Here is a 16,497-nt window from a genome sequence, read left to right as displayed (position 1 = left end):
CAGTGTCAATAACTTCTCTGTCCTACCTCAACATAATATCAACTCTCCATAACAAAGTCACAGTTTGCAGGAAGTTGATCACCTTCTCCTTCCACAGGATACTACACTGGTCCAAGGCATTGATAACATTATGCAGATTTAAACTAGTGGATGTGCAGTAACAAGTACTCTGAACACTTATAAGGTATTTTCATTTCAGATAGTGGGAAATTCTCTAACTAGATCTCTTTTACCAAAAGCAAAAAGCAAACAAACAAACAAAAAAAAGGTATTAATGGCCCTATGCCAGAATAAGGGACTACAAGAAAACATGTAAATTGACTTCCACGAGGATAAAAGCCAGAGAAGGCAAGCAAATATTTCCTGAGTTAGACTCTCCCCATGAAGCCATGAAGAGCACTGTGACACCTGGTCTCCCCTGAGACCCAAAGCCTCTTTGACACCAGCAGTCTCTGTAATTGGCACACTGGCTCCCTAGCAGTAATCCCCCTGGGAAGTCTTCTTAAAAAGCAGAGGATATCCAGGATGGTTTGAAATTTCTCACAATTATTTTTTCAAAAATCCATAGCTATCCAGGTAGTTAAGGAGGCCCATGAGAGCTCACATTATGGTAGATAACCCTGTACAATTGGCTCCTTCAAACGATGACCACTCCCAACCTTGGAGACAGTGCAGCAAGTGACCCACAGTTGCTCTCTCTGCCACACTAACAGTCCCCATAACAGATCACCCTCAAGGCCTCATGTTAAGGAGTACAATTTAGGGGAATTTACCCTGGCAAGGACTGGCAAACACACTTTACGGTCATGCTCCAGACCCCCGGGAACTTTAGATACCTTCTAGGTGTGGTTGTTATCTTCCCACGATGGATAAAGGTGATCAACTCGCTCTGATACCACCTCGGAGGTATCATGCCATCTCTTAAAGGATATTTTTCCTGGGTTTGGGCTGCCTAAAACCATGTAGTGGACAAGTTTTTTTTTTTTCTTTTTTTTTTTTTTGAGATGGAGTCTCACCCTGTTGCCCAGGCTGGAGTGCAATGGCGTGATCTCAGCTCACTGCAGCCTCTGCCTAGCGGGTTCAACAAATTCTCCTGCCTCAGCCTCCAGAGTAGCTGGGATTACAGGTGCCCACCACCACGCCTGGCTGTTTTTTTGTATTTTTTAGTAGAGACGGAGTTTCACCATGTTGGCCAGGCTGGTCTCAAACCCCTGACCTTATGATCCGCCTGCCTTGGCCTCCCAAAGTGCTGGCATGAGCCAGCTTTGGCCTCCCAAAGTACAGACATGAGCCACCATGCCCGGCCAGTGGGAAAGCTTTTATATCTTAAATCACTCAAAAGGTAGCCCAAGACCTAGAAATCCCCTGAAAACTCCACACAGCAAGGAGACCCCAGGCCTCAGGAGAAGCAGAAAAAGCCACTTAAAGCTTAACGAGAACGTTGGCTAAACTGTGCTGGGAAACAGAGGAAAACTGACTCACTCTCTTACCATAGCTCTTCTGGACTCTAATCATCCGGTGGATGTGATCATGCATTCTCTGACAGTAGTCAGCCTCTTTTCCCAGGCACCTATGTCATCAGTCACCGGGCTTATGAATAAAGTGGCCACTGTGGTAGGGACTGAGGTTTTGCATACACACAGCAATCTGGAATTCCTTTCACCATGGCCAACCAGGTTACAGACCCCTCTGAGTGTTCCAACTGTCAGCAGCAGAAACTAACACCAAGTCTCTATATGGCACCATTCCCCAGGAAGATCTGCCAATTTCCTTGTGGTAGGTTGATTACATTGGGCAGCTTTCATCAGGGAAGGGGCAGCATTTTGTTCTTCCTGGAATAGTAAGACAGTTACTCCATCTATAAATTTTACTTCCTTGCATGCAAGTATTCTGTGGAAACTACCATCCATGGACTTAATGCCTATCTACCATCATGGTATTCCACACAGCATTGCTTCTGAACAAGGAACTCACGTCACAGACAAAGAAGGGTAGAAATGAGCTCATGCTCAGAAACTTCAGTGAATTCACCATGTTCCCTATAATCCTGAAGCAACTCACTTGAAACAATGGTGGAATGACCTTTGGGAGTTACAGTTCCAGCACCTGCTAGATGACAATATTGTGTAACTGTGGGGCAAGGTTCTCTAGAAGGCAGTATATGCTCTGAACCAGCATGCATTATATGGCGCCATTTCTCCCGAAGCAGTGTGGTCACAAACACTTCATCAGTCTCTAAGGACTCCCAAATATTTCCTATCTTCTAAACCCTCACAAGAATACAGGCTTTTACTAGTCTGCCTCTCCAAGATTCTTTTAGCCTCTGCCCATCACCCAGTTTGAAAGACACTTTCATATTTTCAGGTATTCATTTTCAGCAACAACCTACTTGTCATTACCAGTTTTCTGTATTAGTCCCTTCTTTGTTGCTTAAAACAGAATACAAAATATTGGGTAATTTATAAGGAAAATAAATATATTTCTCACACTTAAGGCATAAATGATGGCTTGGCAGCCTCCACAAATTTCAAAGTATTTTTTTTTTGACAGCCTGGGAGTCCAGAGAGAGAACTGTCACAGGGTCAGATCCACTGCCGAGAGCCCCCAGTAGAAGGATGCCAAACACAAATGTGGGGTTGGAGCTGCTGCAAAGAGTCCCCACCAGGGCAATGCCAAGTGAAGCCACAGAACTGAAGTCACTGCAGAGAGTTCCACATGGGTAATGCCTAGTGGTGCCAATACCAGGATCCCAGGATTGTGAAGTCCCCTGTGGCATTCAATGCCTGCCTGGGAAAATTTCAACCAGTACAAGCACCCACGGGTGATTCACCAAGGAAACCCTTAGGGGTGACACTGCCTAGGGCTTGCCACTCCAACCCTCACCCCAATATGTTAAGGAGTAAAAAACAAAAAAAAAAAGGCTCTCCAGCTTTAAGATGTAATGTTTGCCCTCCTGGACTTCAAATTTACTTAGGGGCTGTTACTGTTTTCTTTGTGTCTATTTCTCTCTTATAGAATGGGAATGTGTACATTATGTTTATCCTGAAATCACCTTTGAAAAAATTCTAACAGTGAGAAAATTATGACTGTAAAAGAGATATGACCTGACTGAATCCATCTTGGCTTTAATCTCAAAGCTGCCCTTGTTTGTTCCTGGACAAAGGGAACATTAACATTATAGCCTAACTTTGAAACAAAGATGACAGCCCTTCCTTGAAACAAATCCCTTAATTGCTTGGGGACCAGACCACCTTTGTAAAACCAACAAATTAACCACAAGATTAGAAAATATGGTTCAAGAGCCATACAGCCAGAGGCCATAACATTACTAACATCCCCAATTGCTCCTAGAGACAGCATTCATACTGTGAACCTAAGGGGCCTAGGATCCCTATAAGCCCACTGTTTGGGCTGGCCCTGCAGACTTGTTAGTTACAAAATTTGCTACACCTCCCTGAAACAAAAAAGTTGAAGTTTCCCTCTTATCTTGTTTTATGTTCTTGAAAACTTGACTTAGTAACCATGTGAGGATGCTGTCCCTTGTTCTCCCACATACACAGAGTTGGAATTTCTGGATTCAGGTCAGGCAGCCAGTCTGAAAGGATACATAATAATGTCACAGCTAGCTTTAAGGATTCTCTTGAGCAGTTAAAATCCTTGAAGCTTGGAGCTGACTGACCTACATTATTTCTGACCAACAGCAACTGCCCCATACTGTAGCTCAGTAACTAAGGTTTTTCCCTTTTACTGCAGCAGCCTGGGTTTGATTCTCACCTCAAGCAGTAAGCCCTTTCTAGTGTGATATTTGGAGACTTTTTGCCATTCATTCGATGATTTTCTTCTCCATGGACATCTTCTCACTTTCTGTCTTAAATTTTCCTTTATAAGCTATCTTTGGGGAAATTCTCAATCTTGCAAAAACTGCTTGCCATCTCTGTGAGACACTTCATGCATCCATGGTTAAGTCATAACCTTAGTTAGGCTTCTGAGTTTCTCATGGGCAGTTACCTTTGGAAAAGTTTAAAGCCAAAAATACTACCTATTTGTCCTGGCTAAAATCTATTAATAAAAGATTTCAGCAGATTTTCTTTTGAGAGCTCTGTAATCAAAAATCAACTTGATTAAGGCTGATATTGAGCTACATGTGCACAGATAGTATTTTAAAGCCTTTGCTCTCCCTCTAAAAGTTTCTCATTCAATGGAATTCTATCTGATCCTCCATTTACTCCTGTCTGTTCCTCCTTCCTCTTGTATCTAACCATTTTGACTTGCAGGGACCTGAAATTACTTTGCATTATGAAAAAAAATTAACCTTGATGTGTAATTGCTAGATAAAAAATATACTTTTTAAAATGACTAATGGTAGTCGCTTATAGTAAGTGATTATTACTACAGGGTGATACTCTTTTATTTGTACATTTAAATAAGAAAGGTGTGCTCTTATGGGCCGATTACAGAGTGGGCTGATGGGCACTGGGTTGTCCAGCAGCCTTGGGGAAATGTCCTTAAAATGAAACACACTGTGAAAGCATTGCACTGTGTCATGCCATATTATTTGCCTCTTTAGGGGACCCAGGATTTGGTATAAAAATAAGATTCCTCATTTAGGGGAATCTGTTTTGCCTTCCAGCTCTGCCTGCTTACTAGGCCCTAGAAACTGCATGCTTTCCTGGTTCTGTTCCTTATAAGGTTCCACTCCAAAGGCAATAATCCCATTTAAAAACTTAACACGTTTAAGAAAATCTCCACATGTAAGAGTGTCTGCTTTTCCTGGCCATCCTGACTGAACTTTTACCCCCACATTTCTCCTTGCTTTAGATAAAATATAAATTCTCTATAATTATTTCACCTAAGAATTATCCCTTTAAAATAAAAGTTTGGAACTGCCTGGTTAAAACCTTTTTAGGGCAGGGAACAGGTAATCAAGAGACTGACGAGCTAAAATGAAAAAGAAAAACTTCAAAAACTGACAAATGACGAATCCGTATAACTCTACCAGATCTGCTTCTCTATGTCTGTGTATTTATATACTTCATATATGTAGTATTTTGCTAACAAACTATATAAAGAGCTCTAATTAATTGGCATATATATGCACTTAAATAAAATATTTTACCAGAAAAATTTTAACTAAACTGCTCTTTGTTCACATGACTCTAATAATCTTTGAATAATAAAGATAGCTTTAAAGATTATTGGTACAATAAAAGTATTTCTTCAACATTTAGACATTTGGTCTAAATTAGGCAGGTCAGATATTCTCTTTGCTGTTTTAGGTTATAAATATCTGTGACTTTTTGTTAGTGTCCAACCTGCCTGCATTAGAGCCAGCAGCTTCTAGGTAAAGCCTGGGGACATGTTGAGTTAGCCATGCCCCCGAGCTATGTTGGAAAGAGTCAGACATTATCTTCATTTCTGTCCTGTGTCCTAGGCTCTGCACTTGGTACGAAATTAAAATTGCTTTCACTAAAAATAAAAGTTGTGAAGATTTAACATTGTAACACATGTGATTGATACTGCTGAGAAAAGATTTACATTCAAGGTATATAAAAATTACAAAATGTGTTTTTGTAAAAAGTTATAAAAAGACCTGAAGATATTGTTTTTGTTTAAAAAAGTAATCTTGTCTAAATTAGAGGTTTTAAAAATTGTCTTAAGTTAAAAAGTAATAGGAGAAAACAGAAGGTTTAAGCAAGTTATACAAGGTTTGTAAAAGATTGGTCTAGTAAAGAAAGTTCTGTGTGTGAGTGTGAGCAACTTGCCAAAACTTGAAGCAGGTTACTTAGTTTTTCTACAGAATGATCATTAATGTAAAAATCACAGTGATACAGGCCCAGAATCTGCCCCCTTATATGTGATCAACAGAGTTTTCATGGAGCATTAATCAGTTGTTTAGTAGAAAATTGTAAACAGTATGCTCAAACTGATTTAGATTGGACAGATTTGTTTATAAGGTTTTATGTAAAAATTGGGTTTGACATTAATAAAACACTAAGGCAAAGGTAAAATTTGGTTTCTCTTTAAACAAGATTTTTGTATAATACTGAGGGATAATAAAATATTTTTATTTGTCTTTTAAATAAACTGAAAAATGTAGGGGAGAGAGAAGACACAGATTCAGATGGCCTCATGCGGTCGTTGCTTGGTCCTGTTGTTTGGGAGCTGAGTCTCCTCTCTACCAATGAATAAAGGCATTTGCCTTATTAAATTTTTGAGCTATCATTTTGGCTAAACAAATGATTTGTGGTTATCTGGGATTCTATTTCGTGATATGAAGTGTTTTAAACCTTTAATATTTGCACACTTTGAAAAATAAAATTATAAACTAAGAATTTTTATTTTAACTCATTAGCCTTTTAAGTATTAGGTCCCCTGAAGTCCAAAAGAGATATGTTTGGCTTATTTGGTATATTAACCTACAGAAAACACTGTCAAATACAAAATCATGTTTAACTTTCTTTGGGTTATATTTATACAAATATGTTATTAGTATGTATTCCAAAATTATATGGTTCCTATAATTCTAATAGGTCTTAGCATATGTTATCAGTAATAATTATGATTATTACATTGAATTGTTATGTGCCACAGAAATGACCAGATTTCTTTGTCGACTGTATCTTTAACAATGGCCTCGTTGGACACAGTGACTCATGCCTGTAATGTCCTCACTGGGCACGGTGGCTCATGTCTGTAATCCTAGAACTTTAGGAGGCTAAGTTGGGAGGATTGTTTGAGCTCAGTTGTTTGAGATCAGCCTGAGCAAGATAGTGAGACCTTATCTCTACAAAAAATTATCAAAAAATTAGTTGGATGTGGTAGCACTTGCCTGTGGTCCCAGCTCCTCTGGAGGCTGAAGAAAGAAGATTGCTTGATCCCAGGAAGGTGAGGCTACAGTGAGCCATAATTGTGCCACTGCACTCCAGCCTGGGTGGCTTGAGACCCTGTCTCAAAAAAATCAAGTAAAATTATTAAAACAATGACTGTCCTGAGATTATTGTCATCCACAGATTATTGTGGTCTTTTCTTCAACTAGTCAAAAGGTGTTTGCTCTTTGAAATGTTCTCTTGAATATAGGTTTCTGATAACTATAGATTGTGGCATTGAAATAGGAAAAAAAAGAAAACAAAACAAACAAACTTTCAGGACTCTCAGAGATAGCTGGTATGTTTATGAGGACTGCAGGCCCAATGTCAGACAAAGTTCACTGCATGGACTGAACTAATACAAGACCACAATAATCATTTTATGACTCGTTACACAAATAATCAGGCTAAGTATAATAATACCAAAACTTATTTTGCAAATAAATGTGACCTACTATGATACGTCTTAAATAAAAATGAGAACTAGAGAGCAAAACATTGTATTTCAGAAAAATACTATAGCACACCTGTTGTTAGATTCTAGTCTTGTCCATTGTTTTTGAGCTTTTTATTGTTTTCTGCATTTTGGACTGAATCCTGAAACCTCTCAGAGCTAAAGTCCTCAAATTAACACATTCACATTTTTCTTCCACTTTTCTGCCCTGGACTCAATGAAATGGCTACGACCTTCTTCCTGAGGCCCCGCAGGCTGAGTTTATCCCTTGAGATACAGATGTGAAATATGTGAGATTTTTATCACTATCCTCCTTTGCAATTTAAAAATGCTTTGAATCTAACATCTGGATGCATTGTGCCCAATATCAACCTTTGTTATTATGTTCTATTTCCATACCAATGCCTGTTATTAAAAATATTTTTGCCTTAATCACATAAGGGGGCCTAGTTCATTTGCAGTGACACCTCCTGGAATGAAACACAGCTAGGATCTATTCTGAGGACTAGGAAACTAACTAAAAAGATATGAGATGGTATATTTAAATTTGCTCTTTCCTGTTTATCCAAATTTGTCTTTCTAACAACCTCTGACCCAAATCTCTCTTGACTATTGACCCCATGTCTGACTGGTCCTTGGGGCTATTCACCCAAATCCCTCAGGGATTTAGATGAAGTATATAAGGACTTCTGAAGCTAGGACTTCCACTCCTTATATTAGGACTCATTATCCTATAGACAGCTGTTCACTTAAGTGCCGTACTAAAACTGTGGATGAGAGCACTAACATCTTGGCCATGCAAGCCTAGGAACCCCAACCAGGCACCTGTGAACACATGCAGGCAGCTGCAAAGCAGCTTCATTCCATTTACTCTGGGGCCAAACCCTATCTCAAGTATACCCTTTGTCAGCAGGAAGAAGTTAGAATGGTCTTTGGCCTTTTCCCAACTCTGTACCTCACCCGTTAAGAATAAGATGCAATGAAACTTGGAAGGGGAAATTGAAATCACATTTGCAAAAACAGTAACAGTGAGAAAATTATGATAGGGAGAGAGACATGACCTAAGTGACTTCATCTTGCATTTAACCTCCAAGTGGCCCTTGCTTATTCCTGGGTAAAAACAAAACTAACTTTGGGAGAAATTTACTTTGTAGCTGAACTTTGAAACAAAGATAATAACAGCTCCTCCCTGAAACAAAACCCCTCATTGTTTGGGGACCACATCAACTTTGTAAAACTAACAAATTAACCACAATATTAGAAAGTATGGCTCAGAAGTCATACCATCAGAGGCCACAAGATTAATAACCTCCCTGATTGCTCCTATCAATAACATTACTATTGTAAAACCTAAGATTGGTGTTTGAGGTATTTTTCATAACTTGCATCCTGACAGATCAGCGGGTGCCACCCAAACCAGTAAACAGGCTCATCTGGATACGTGGCCCACACCCAGGAGCTGAGTCAGCAAAGAAGATGGCTTTGACTTCCTAAGATTTCATCCCTGACCCAACCAATCAGCATGTCCCTTTCTCTAACCCCTGCCCACAAAACTATCTATAAAAACTCTACCCTCTGAATATTTGGGGAAGCAGTTTTGAGTAATACGAAAACTCTGCTCTCTCCTTTAGCCAGCTCTACATGTATAAAATCTTCTCTACAGCAATTCCCCTATCTTGATAAAGTGACTCTATCTGGGCAGCAGCCAACATGAACCCATTGGCCATTAACAACCCAACTGCTGAATTTTGTATGAAGATAACTTGTTTTGATTTCATGGGCTGACAGAGGAGACTTCAGATTTGGGAACTTTCTGCTGGTGCTGGAACAATTTAAGCCTTTGAACGATAGGAATGAAATAAACTTTTTGTAAGTGACAGGGCGTGATTTTTAGAGTCAGAAGTGGAGGCCTGTGGTTGGAATATTGCTTCCCTCCCAAATTTATGCTGAAATTTAATCCCTAACATGGCGGTATTGAATTGTGAGACTTTTAAAAGGTGATTGGATCATGAAGAGTTTGACCCCATAAATGAATTAATCCTTTCATGGATTAATAAATATTTAAAGATTAATAGTCTACTATGAGCGAAGAGTGGCTTATAAGAAGGGAGACATGTTGTTGCATGTCAGCAAGCTCTACTCCATTGCCATACCATACCCTGTAGACTTCAGAACTCTTCAGAGAGTCCCAACCAGCAACATGATCTCACCACATACAACCTCTCAACCTTAGACTTTTCAGCCTCCATAACTGTATGAAATACATGTGTTTTCTTTATCAACTACTCAGTGTCAGGTATTCTGTTATAAATAACAGAAAATGGACTAAAACAAAGTCTTAGTATTACTATGCCCTGTTATTAAGTTCAATGGATTATTACAACCATTCCAGACAAGAATACAAATGCTCCAGATCTTTCAGGAATGAAGGTTTGCATCATCCTGCCAGGTAAAGACCCAGGACCAGCAGAGGGGCTTGCTGAAGACAAAGAGAATACCGAATGGGTAGCAGTAGAAGGGAGTTACAAATACCAGACAGGGCCAGGAGTGGTGCCTCAAGCCTGTAATCCCAGCACTTTGGGAGGCCAAGGCAGGCAGATCACCAGGTCAGGAGATCAAGACCATCCTGGCTAACACAGTGAAACCCCATCTCTACTAAAAATACAAAAAAAATTAGCCAGGCGTGGTGGCGGGCGCCTGTAGTCCCAGCTACTCGGGAGGCTGAGGCAGGAGAATGTGTGAACCTGGGAGGCGGAGCTTGCAGTGAGCCAAGATCATGCCACTGCACTCCAGCCTGGGTGACAGAGCGAGACTCTGTCTCAAAAATGAAAATAAAAATAAAAAAGTAAATAAATAAATACATACATAACCAGACAGGACTAGGTGACCAGTTACAGAAACAAGGATTAAAATTGTCACTATTATTTCCTATCTACTTTGTTAAGAATACATTTGCGTGTTATATATAAATATATTAGGCAAATAACATTGTTTCTATTTCTCTCTTCTTCTGTTGTCACATAACACAATAATGTATTAACTTGATATTAGCAGTTAAGTGTTAGTAATTTGTACTGAAGTTATGGGGTATCAGGAGAAGAGTAAACATCACCCACAAACTTCTACTACTCTTAAGAAAAATAGTATAGTGTGTTCTCATTGCACACAGGATCATTGAATCATGTTACGTAGAACTATTGCCTTGTTATTGTCTATATCTGAAGATTAGTTAGGGCTTAAGGTGATACATATAGGTGCCAACTAGAAAGGTGCTGGACTTGTCATGGTTAATTTAAGGTGCTGACTGGATTACAGAATACCTAGAGAATTGGTAAACCATTACTTCTGGGTGTGTCTGCCAGGGTGTTTCCAGAGGAGACTGATGTATGAGTCAGGGAATTTAGTGGGAAAAATCCACCCTCAATGGGGGAAGGCAGCATACAATCTCCTTGGGGACTAAACAAAACCAAAAATGAAAAATTTTTAAAAAGTTTTCCTGTCTCTCTTCTGGAGAAAGTATACTCCTTTTCCTGCCCTTGGAAAATAGAACTCCATGATATATGGCCTTCAAACTCCAGAACTTATACCAGTAAATGCCCTGGATTCTCAGGCCATTGGTCCCAAACTAAGAATTACACCAAGAGCTTCTGTGATTCTGAAGACTTCAGCTTTGGAATGAGCCACCACGTTACAGCATCCAAGGTCCTTAAACTCGCAGATGGCTGTCTTGGGAATTCTCCATCTCTATAATGTTACATGAGTAAATCCCCAAACAAAATGCTGTTCATCTAACGATTGTCTATCTATCTATCAACTCTCCATCTATGTATCTATCTACCTACCTAACTACCTCCCTGTAGTTCTGTCTCTCTGAAAAAAAATAACTGACAAATACACCCATAAAGACTTCAGCCAAATGGCACAATACTATGTCTTTCTCTAGTTGCTCCTCCACCACCCCTGCTGCTTATGAGTGTATGTCCTGGAGAGCTCTTCTCTGTCCATCAGCACTTCAAGGAATGCTGCCCTCTTCTTACTGGGATTGGTTAGTAATACATTACGCATGTCATTATACACCTTTTGCTGAGTTGCCTCCTCTGTATTTCACTTTATGAACACATATGGACATCACTTTTCTCCCACTTAGCACTCTCCTAAAGAGTGGTTTCCTTGGTAGAATAAACTAGACACAGGTCAGACAGGAGCCACAGGGTGTCTTACAGTATAAACAAGTACTCTGTGAGAAGGATACCTGGATATAAGCTGGACGGTTGGGCTTTAGGCCATCGACCAGGATAAGTAAGCATCCCATGAAAGGCACAGCCAGTACCAAATCCTGAGTCATATTGGGCAAGGCTATAGGTTATAGTCACCATCCAGAGAGGCCTTAAAGCAAACAGAAGTAAGAATAAAACACACGCTGTGAGATAATTTTATGAACTATGGTTCCAGGAGTCCTAGGGAGGGAAACTAAAAATGGCAAGGCATTATTTGAAAGTTTGCACTGGAGTGGTGGCTCTCCAAAGATAAGGAAAAATCTCAGGTTGGGCGTGGTGGCTTACACCTGTAATCCCAGCACTCTGGGAGGCAGACGTGAGCGGATCAGGAGGTCAGGAGATCAGGACCATTCTGGCTAACACTGTGAAACCCTGTCTCTACTAAAAACAAAAAAAAATTAGCTGGGCGTGGTGGCAGGCACCTGTAGTCCCACCTGCTGGGGAGGCTGAGGCAGGAGAATGGCGTGACTCTGGGAGGGGGAGCTTGCAGTGAGCTGAGGTCACGCCACTGCACTCCAGTCTGGGTGACAGAGCGAGACTCCATCTCAAAAAAAAAAAAAAAAATCTCTATCTAGAGGATTTCAGCCCTAATCATAGAAATATAAACAACGACCTCTGTAACTTATTTATTTATTTATTTAATGGGGTTTAACTACGTTGCCCAGGCTGGAATGCACTGGTTATTCACTAACACAATCATAGTACACCATATAGCCTCAAACTCCTGGTATCACATGATCATCCTACCCACCCTCCCTAGCAGTTGGGACTGACTACAGGTTTGTGCCACCACACTTGCACAGATAAAATTTTAAATCAAGAAACTTGCATTTCTTTTTCTTCTTTCCCATAGTAATTCTAATCATGTGAAGAATGATCATACAAATCATTTTATGATTAGTTACTGCAGATGTAGATGCATTATAGCTTCCATACAATCTTTTATGCTGTCCACTTCTTACTTGGATCAACTTTATTTTTGGATACTTGAGAAGAAGAATGGGTCTTAGTGTTCCCTGAAGAAGAGAGTAAAATAGAAACTCATCTGATTTATATTTTAAAACCTTACTGCATTTGTACCATGAGATTTAGTTCCATGAAGGCTCAAATAAGTTAACAGGAAGACATGATCTCAAATATATGAGCCATGTCTACACTTCTATTTATTTTGAAATAATTTTAGATTAACAGAGAGTTGTTAAAATCTTACATAAATTTGTATATAGCCTTCAATTTCCTGTTATATTAATATCATACACATAACCATAGACTATCTATGAAAACTCAGAAACTGATAAAGGCACAAAACTATTAACTAAACTACTGACTGTCTTCATATTTTACCAGGTTTTTCACTAATGCCATTTTTCCTTTTCTTGGATCTAATCAAGGATAACATATTATGTTTATCATCAAGTGTATTATTGTTTATTGCAGAATAGCCAATTACCATGTAGCTTAGTGGCTCAAAAGCACACACAAATTACTCACAGTTTCTCTGGGTCAGGAATCCAGATGTAGATGATGGCCAAGGCTGATGTCTCACCTGAGGATCAGCTGGGGAGGAATCATCTTCTAAGTTCACATGATTGACCAGGTTGAGAAGAATTCACTGATGAATTATTTGAAACCTTTAAAATATCAACAGCAATTTTTTACTAACCGTTCTCCAAAAAAACAAAATAATAGAGAAGAGATCAGTGTGCAATACATTCTATGAGGCAGTTTCCTCTGAGGCCACAATCAAACAAACGCAGTCCAAACAAGGAAAACTATAAACTAATATGCTTTATGGGTACCCAGGCAATAATTCTCAAGGAAATAGCCTGAACACAAACCAGGATTGTAAAACAGAATTAAACACTAATTTATTTATTTATTTACTCAGGGTCACAAGTTTGGTAAAACCTATAAAAAGAATTAGTGTAATAACTATATTAATATAATAAATAACAAAATTTTCATTATCACATCTAAAGATATGGAATAAGCACTTTCCAATTCAAAAACCCACTCACAGTAAAAACACTAAACAAATTTTGCAGAAAGGGAATGTTCTTACCTAACACAGGCACCCATGAAAAATTCACATGACAACACATGGTATCAAGTAGGTCTCAGTAATTTTCCCAAAATTATAAACACAAAAGGTTATCTATTCCCACTAATTCAACTAAATATTCTTGAGGATGTAATTTATAAAATTAGGCTGGAAAAATAAATATAAGACTTCCAAATTGAAAGGGAAGAAGTCAAACATCTATTGGCCAGTGACATAATCTAATGTATAGAAAATCCTTAAAAATCCACTAAAATAAGGTTGGAACAAAAAAAAATTCAGTCATGATCAATGTAATAAATTGCATTTTATACAATAGAAACTAATCAAATAACGAAACAGAAAACAATTTCATTTAACACGGCATCAAAAAGGAAATATATTTGAAAATAAACCTAATATAACTGTAAGATATATATACTGAAAATTACAAATGATGTTGAAGTATTAAAGAAATCCTAAATAAATGAATAAAAGAGTTAGCATAATATACTATATGAACTAGATTTTCATTGATCAGAAAGCTATTAAGTATTAACCAAGATGCTTATACTTTCTAAATGCATCTTCAGATTCAATACAAGCCCTACTAAAATTCTAACTTTAATTTTTTTTCAATTTTAGCAATTCTTGGACCACTGATTCTAGAACACACAGAAAAATGCAATTGATCTAGAACAGCCCAAAGAATGTTAAATTTTTTTTACAGAAACACAAATGACATTTATAGAAGGTCTGTCCATAGGGCAATGGGGCATAATTCCCCACTTTTTATGTATGTGCTGTGCATACTGATGTTTTTTCCAAAAGGTACAACATGAAAAGTGGAATAATATTAATTTTATTGTTGCGGGAAGTCAGGGACCCCAAACGGAGGGACTAGCTGAAGCCATGGTGGAAGAACATAAATTGTGAAGATTTCATGGACATATATTAGTTCCTGAAATTAATACTTTTATAGTTTCTTGTGCCTGTCTTTACTGCAATCTCTGAACATAAGTTATGAAGATTTCATGGACACTTATCACTTCCCCAATCAATACCCTTGTGATTTCCTATGCCTGTCTTTACTTTAATCTCTTAATCCCGTCATCTTTGTAAGCTAAGGATGATGTATGTCGCCTCAGGACACTGTGATGATTGCGTTAACTACACAAATTGTTTATAAAGCATGTGTGTTTGAACAATATGAAATCTGGGCACCTTGAAAAAAGAACAGGATAACAGTAATATTCAGGGAACAAGAGAGATAAGCTTAAATTCTGACTGCCGGTGAGCCAGGTGGAACAGAGCCATATTTCTCTTCTTTCAAAAGCAAATAGGAGAAATATCGCTGAATTCTTTTTCTCAGCAAGGAACATCCCTGAGAGAGAGAATGCGTCCCTGAGGGGAGGCCTCTAAAATGGCCGCTTTGAGGGCAGCTGTCTTTTACGGTTGCAGCTGTCTTTTACGGTTGCAGCTGTCTTTTACGGTTGTAGCTGTGGGATGAAATAAGCTCCGGTCTCCCGTAGTGCTCCCAGACTTATCAGGACAAGGAAATTCCCGCCCAATAAATTTTGGTCAGACCAGTTGTCTGCTCTCAAACCCTGTTTCCCGATGAGATGTTATCAATGACAATGCATGCCCAAAACTTCTTTAGCAATTTTAATTTTGCCCCAGTCCTGTGGTCCTGTGATCTCGCCCTGCCTCCATTTACCTTGTGATATCTTATTAGCTTGTGAAGCATGTGATCTCTGTGACCCACACCCTATTCGTACACTCCCTCCCCTTTTGAAAATCACTAATAAAAACTTGCTGCTTTTATGCTTCAGGGGGCATCATGGAACCTGCCAACATGTGACGTCTCCCCCAGACACCCAGCTTTAAAATTTCTCTCTTTTGTACTCTGTCCCTTTATTTCTCAGACCGGCTGACACTTAGGGAAAATAGAAAAGAACCCACGTGAAATATTGGGGGTGAATTTCGCCCGATATTATAGTGGACAAAACTGAGCTAAACTGCCTCATCCATGTGATCAAATAACATTAACCATGACAAAGCAGCTGGGCACAGTGGCTCACACCTGTAATCCCAGCACTTTGGGAGCCTGAGGTGAGATGATCGCTTGGGGCCAGGACTTAGAGACCAGCCTGGGCAATGTAGTGAGACTCTGCCTCTACAAATGTAAAAGTAAAATTAAATCATCCAGAGTGGTGGCACATGCCTGTAGTCCCATCTACTCAAGAGGATGAGGTGGAGGATCATTCAAGCCCAAGAATTCCAGGCTGCAGCAAGCTTTGTTCACGCCACTGCACTCCGGCCTGAGCAACAGAATGAGACCCTGTCTCAAAAAAAAAAAAAAAAACTGATACAGCATGTTGACACTATGTACTCTTGTTATAATATCATGAGAATAAAAGTTTCCCTCTGTGGGTTTCCTCTGCTAAATTCACAACAGTCATCCAATCATTAGGAAAACACCAGAGACATCCCAAAGGATTTCAACGATATCAGAAATAAGGAAAATCTGAGAAACTGGCACATGATACCTAAATGTGATGTGGTGTCCTGGGCGGAATCCTGGAACAGAATATGGACATTAGGTGAAAACAGAACATCTGATTAATTGTGAATGTTGCTGAATGATAATGTATAATACTGGTTCATCAATTGCGACAAATGTCTGCAATGAATGTAAGAATTTATAAAAGGGAAATTATGTGTTGAACATATATAAACTCTCTGTATGTACTTGTAACTATTCTGCAAATCCAAACTATTCTAAAATAGATTTAAAAATAAATAAAATATATATATTTTAAAAATTACACTATTGAGCTTACTAAGCAGAACATTGTCGAT

The 16,497-nt window shown here is 38.9% G+C and overlaps 1 long non-coding RNA gene across 2 annotated transcripts in view; it reads right to left on the bottom strand.

Moving 5' to 3' along the window:
* The window catches only part of LOC105370733 (uncharacterized), a 440,742-nt gene that overhangs the window by 21,855 nt on the left and 402,390 nt on the right, over positions 1–16,497 (bottom strand). Inside the window, exons 3-4 of one of the 2 annotated variants that reach the window (XR_007064536.1) lie at positions 13,089–13,228; positions 11,573–11,706 (exon numbers count right to left, since the gene is read on the bottom strand). This is a non-coding gene — a long non-coding RNA (uncharacterized LOC105370733). Of the gene's footprint in view, positions 1–6,952; positions 7,588–11,572; positions 11,707–13,088; positions 13,229–16,497 lie in introns of those variants that run through there. The other variant, XR_007064537.1, reaches the window with a different exon arrangement.

Source organism: Homo sapiens, chromosome 15 (genome assembly GCF_000001405.40).
Source record: "Homo sapiens chromosome 15, GRCh38.p14 Primary Assembly".
In the NCBI taxonomy this organism is placed as follows: Eukaryota; Metazoa; Chordata; class Mammalia; order Primates; family Hominidae; genus Homo; species Homo sapiens.
The sequence above is the reverse complement of the archived record's forward strand: the minus strand, read 5'-3'. Positions and strand labels throughout refer to the sequence as shown.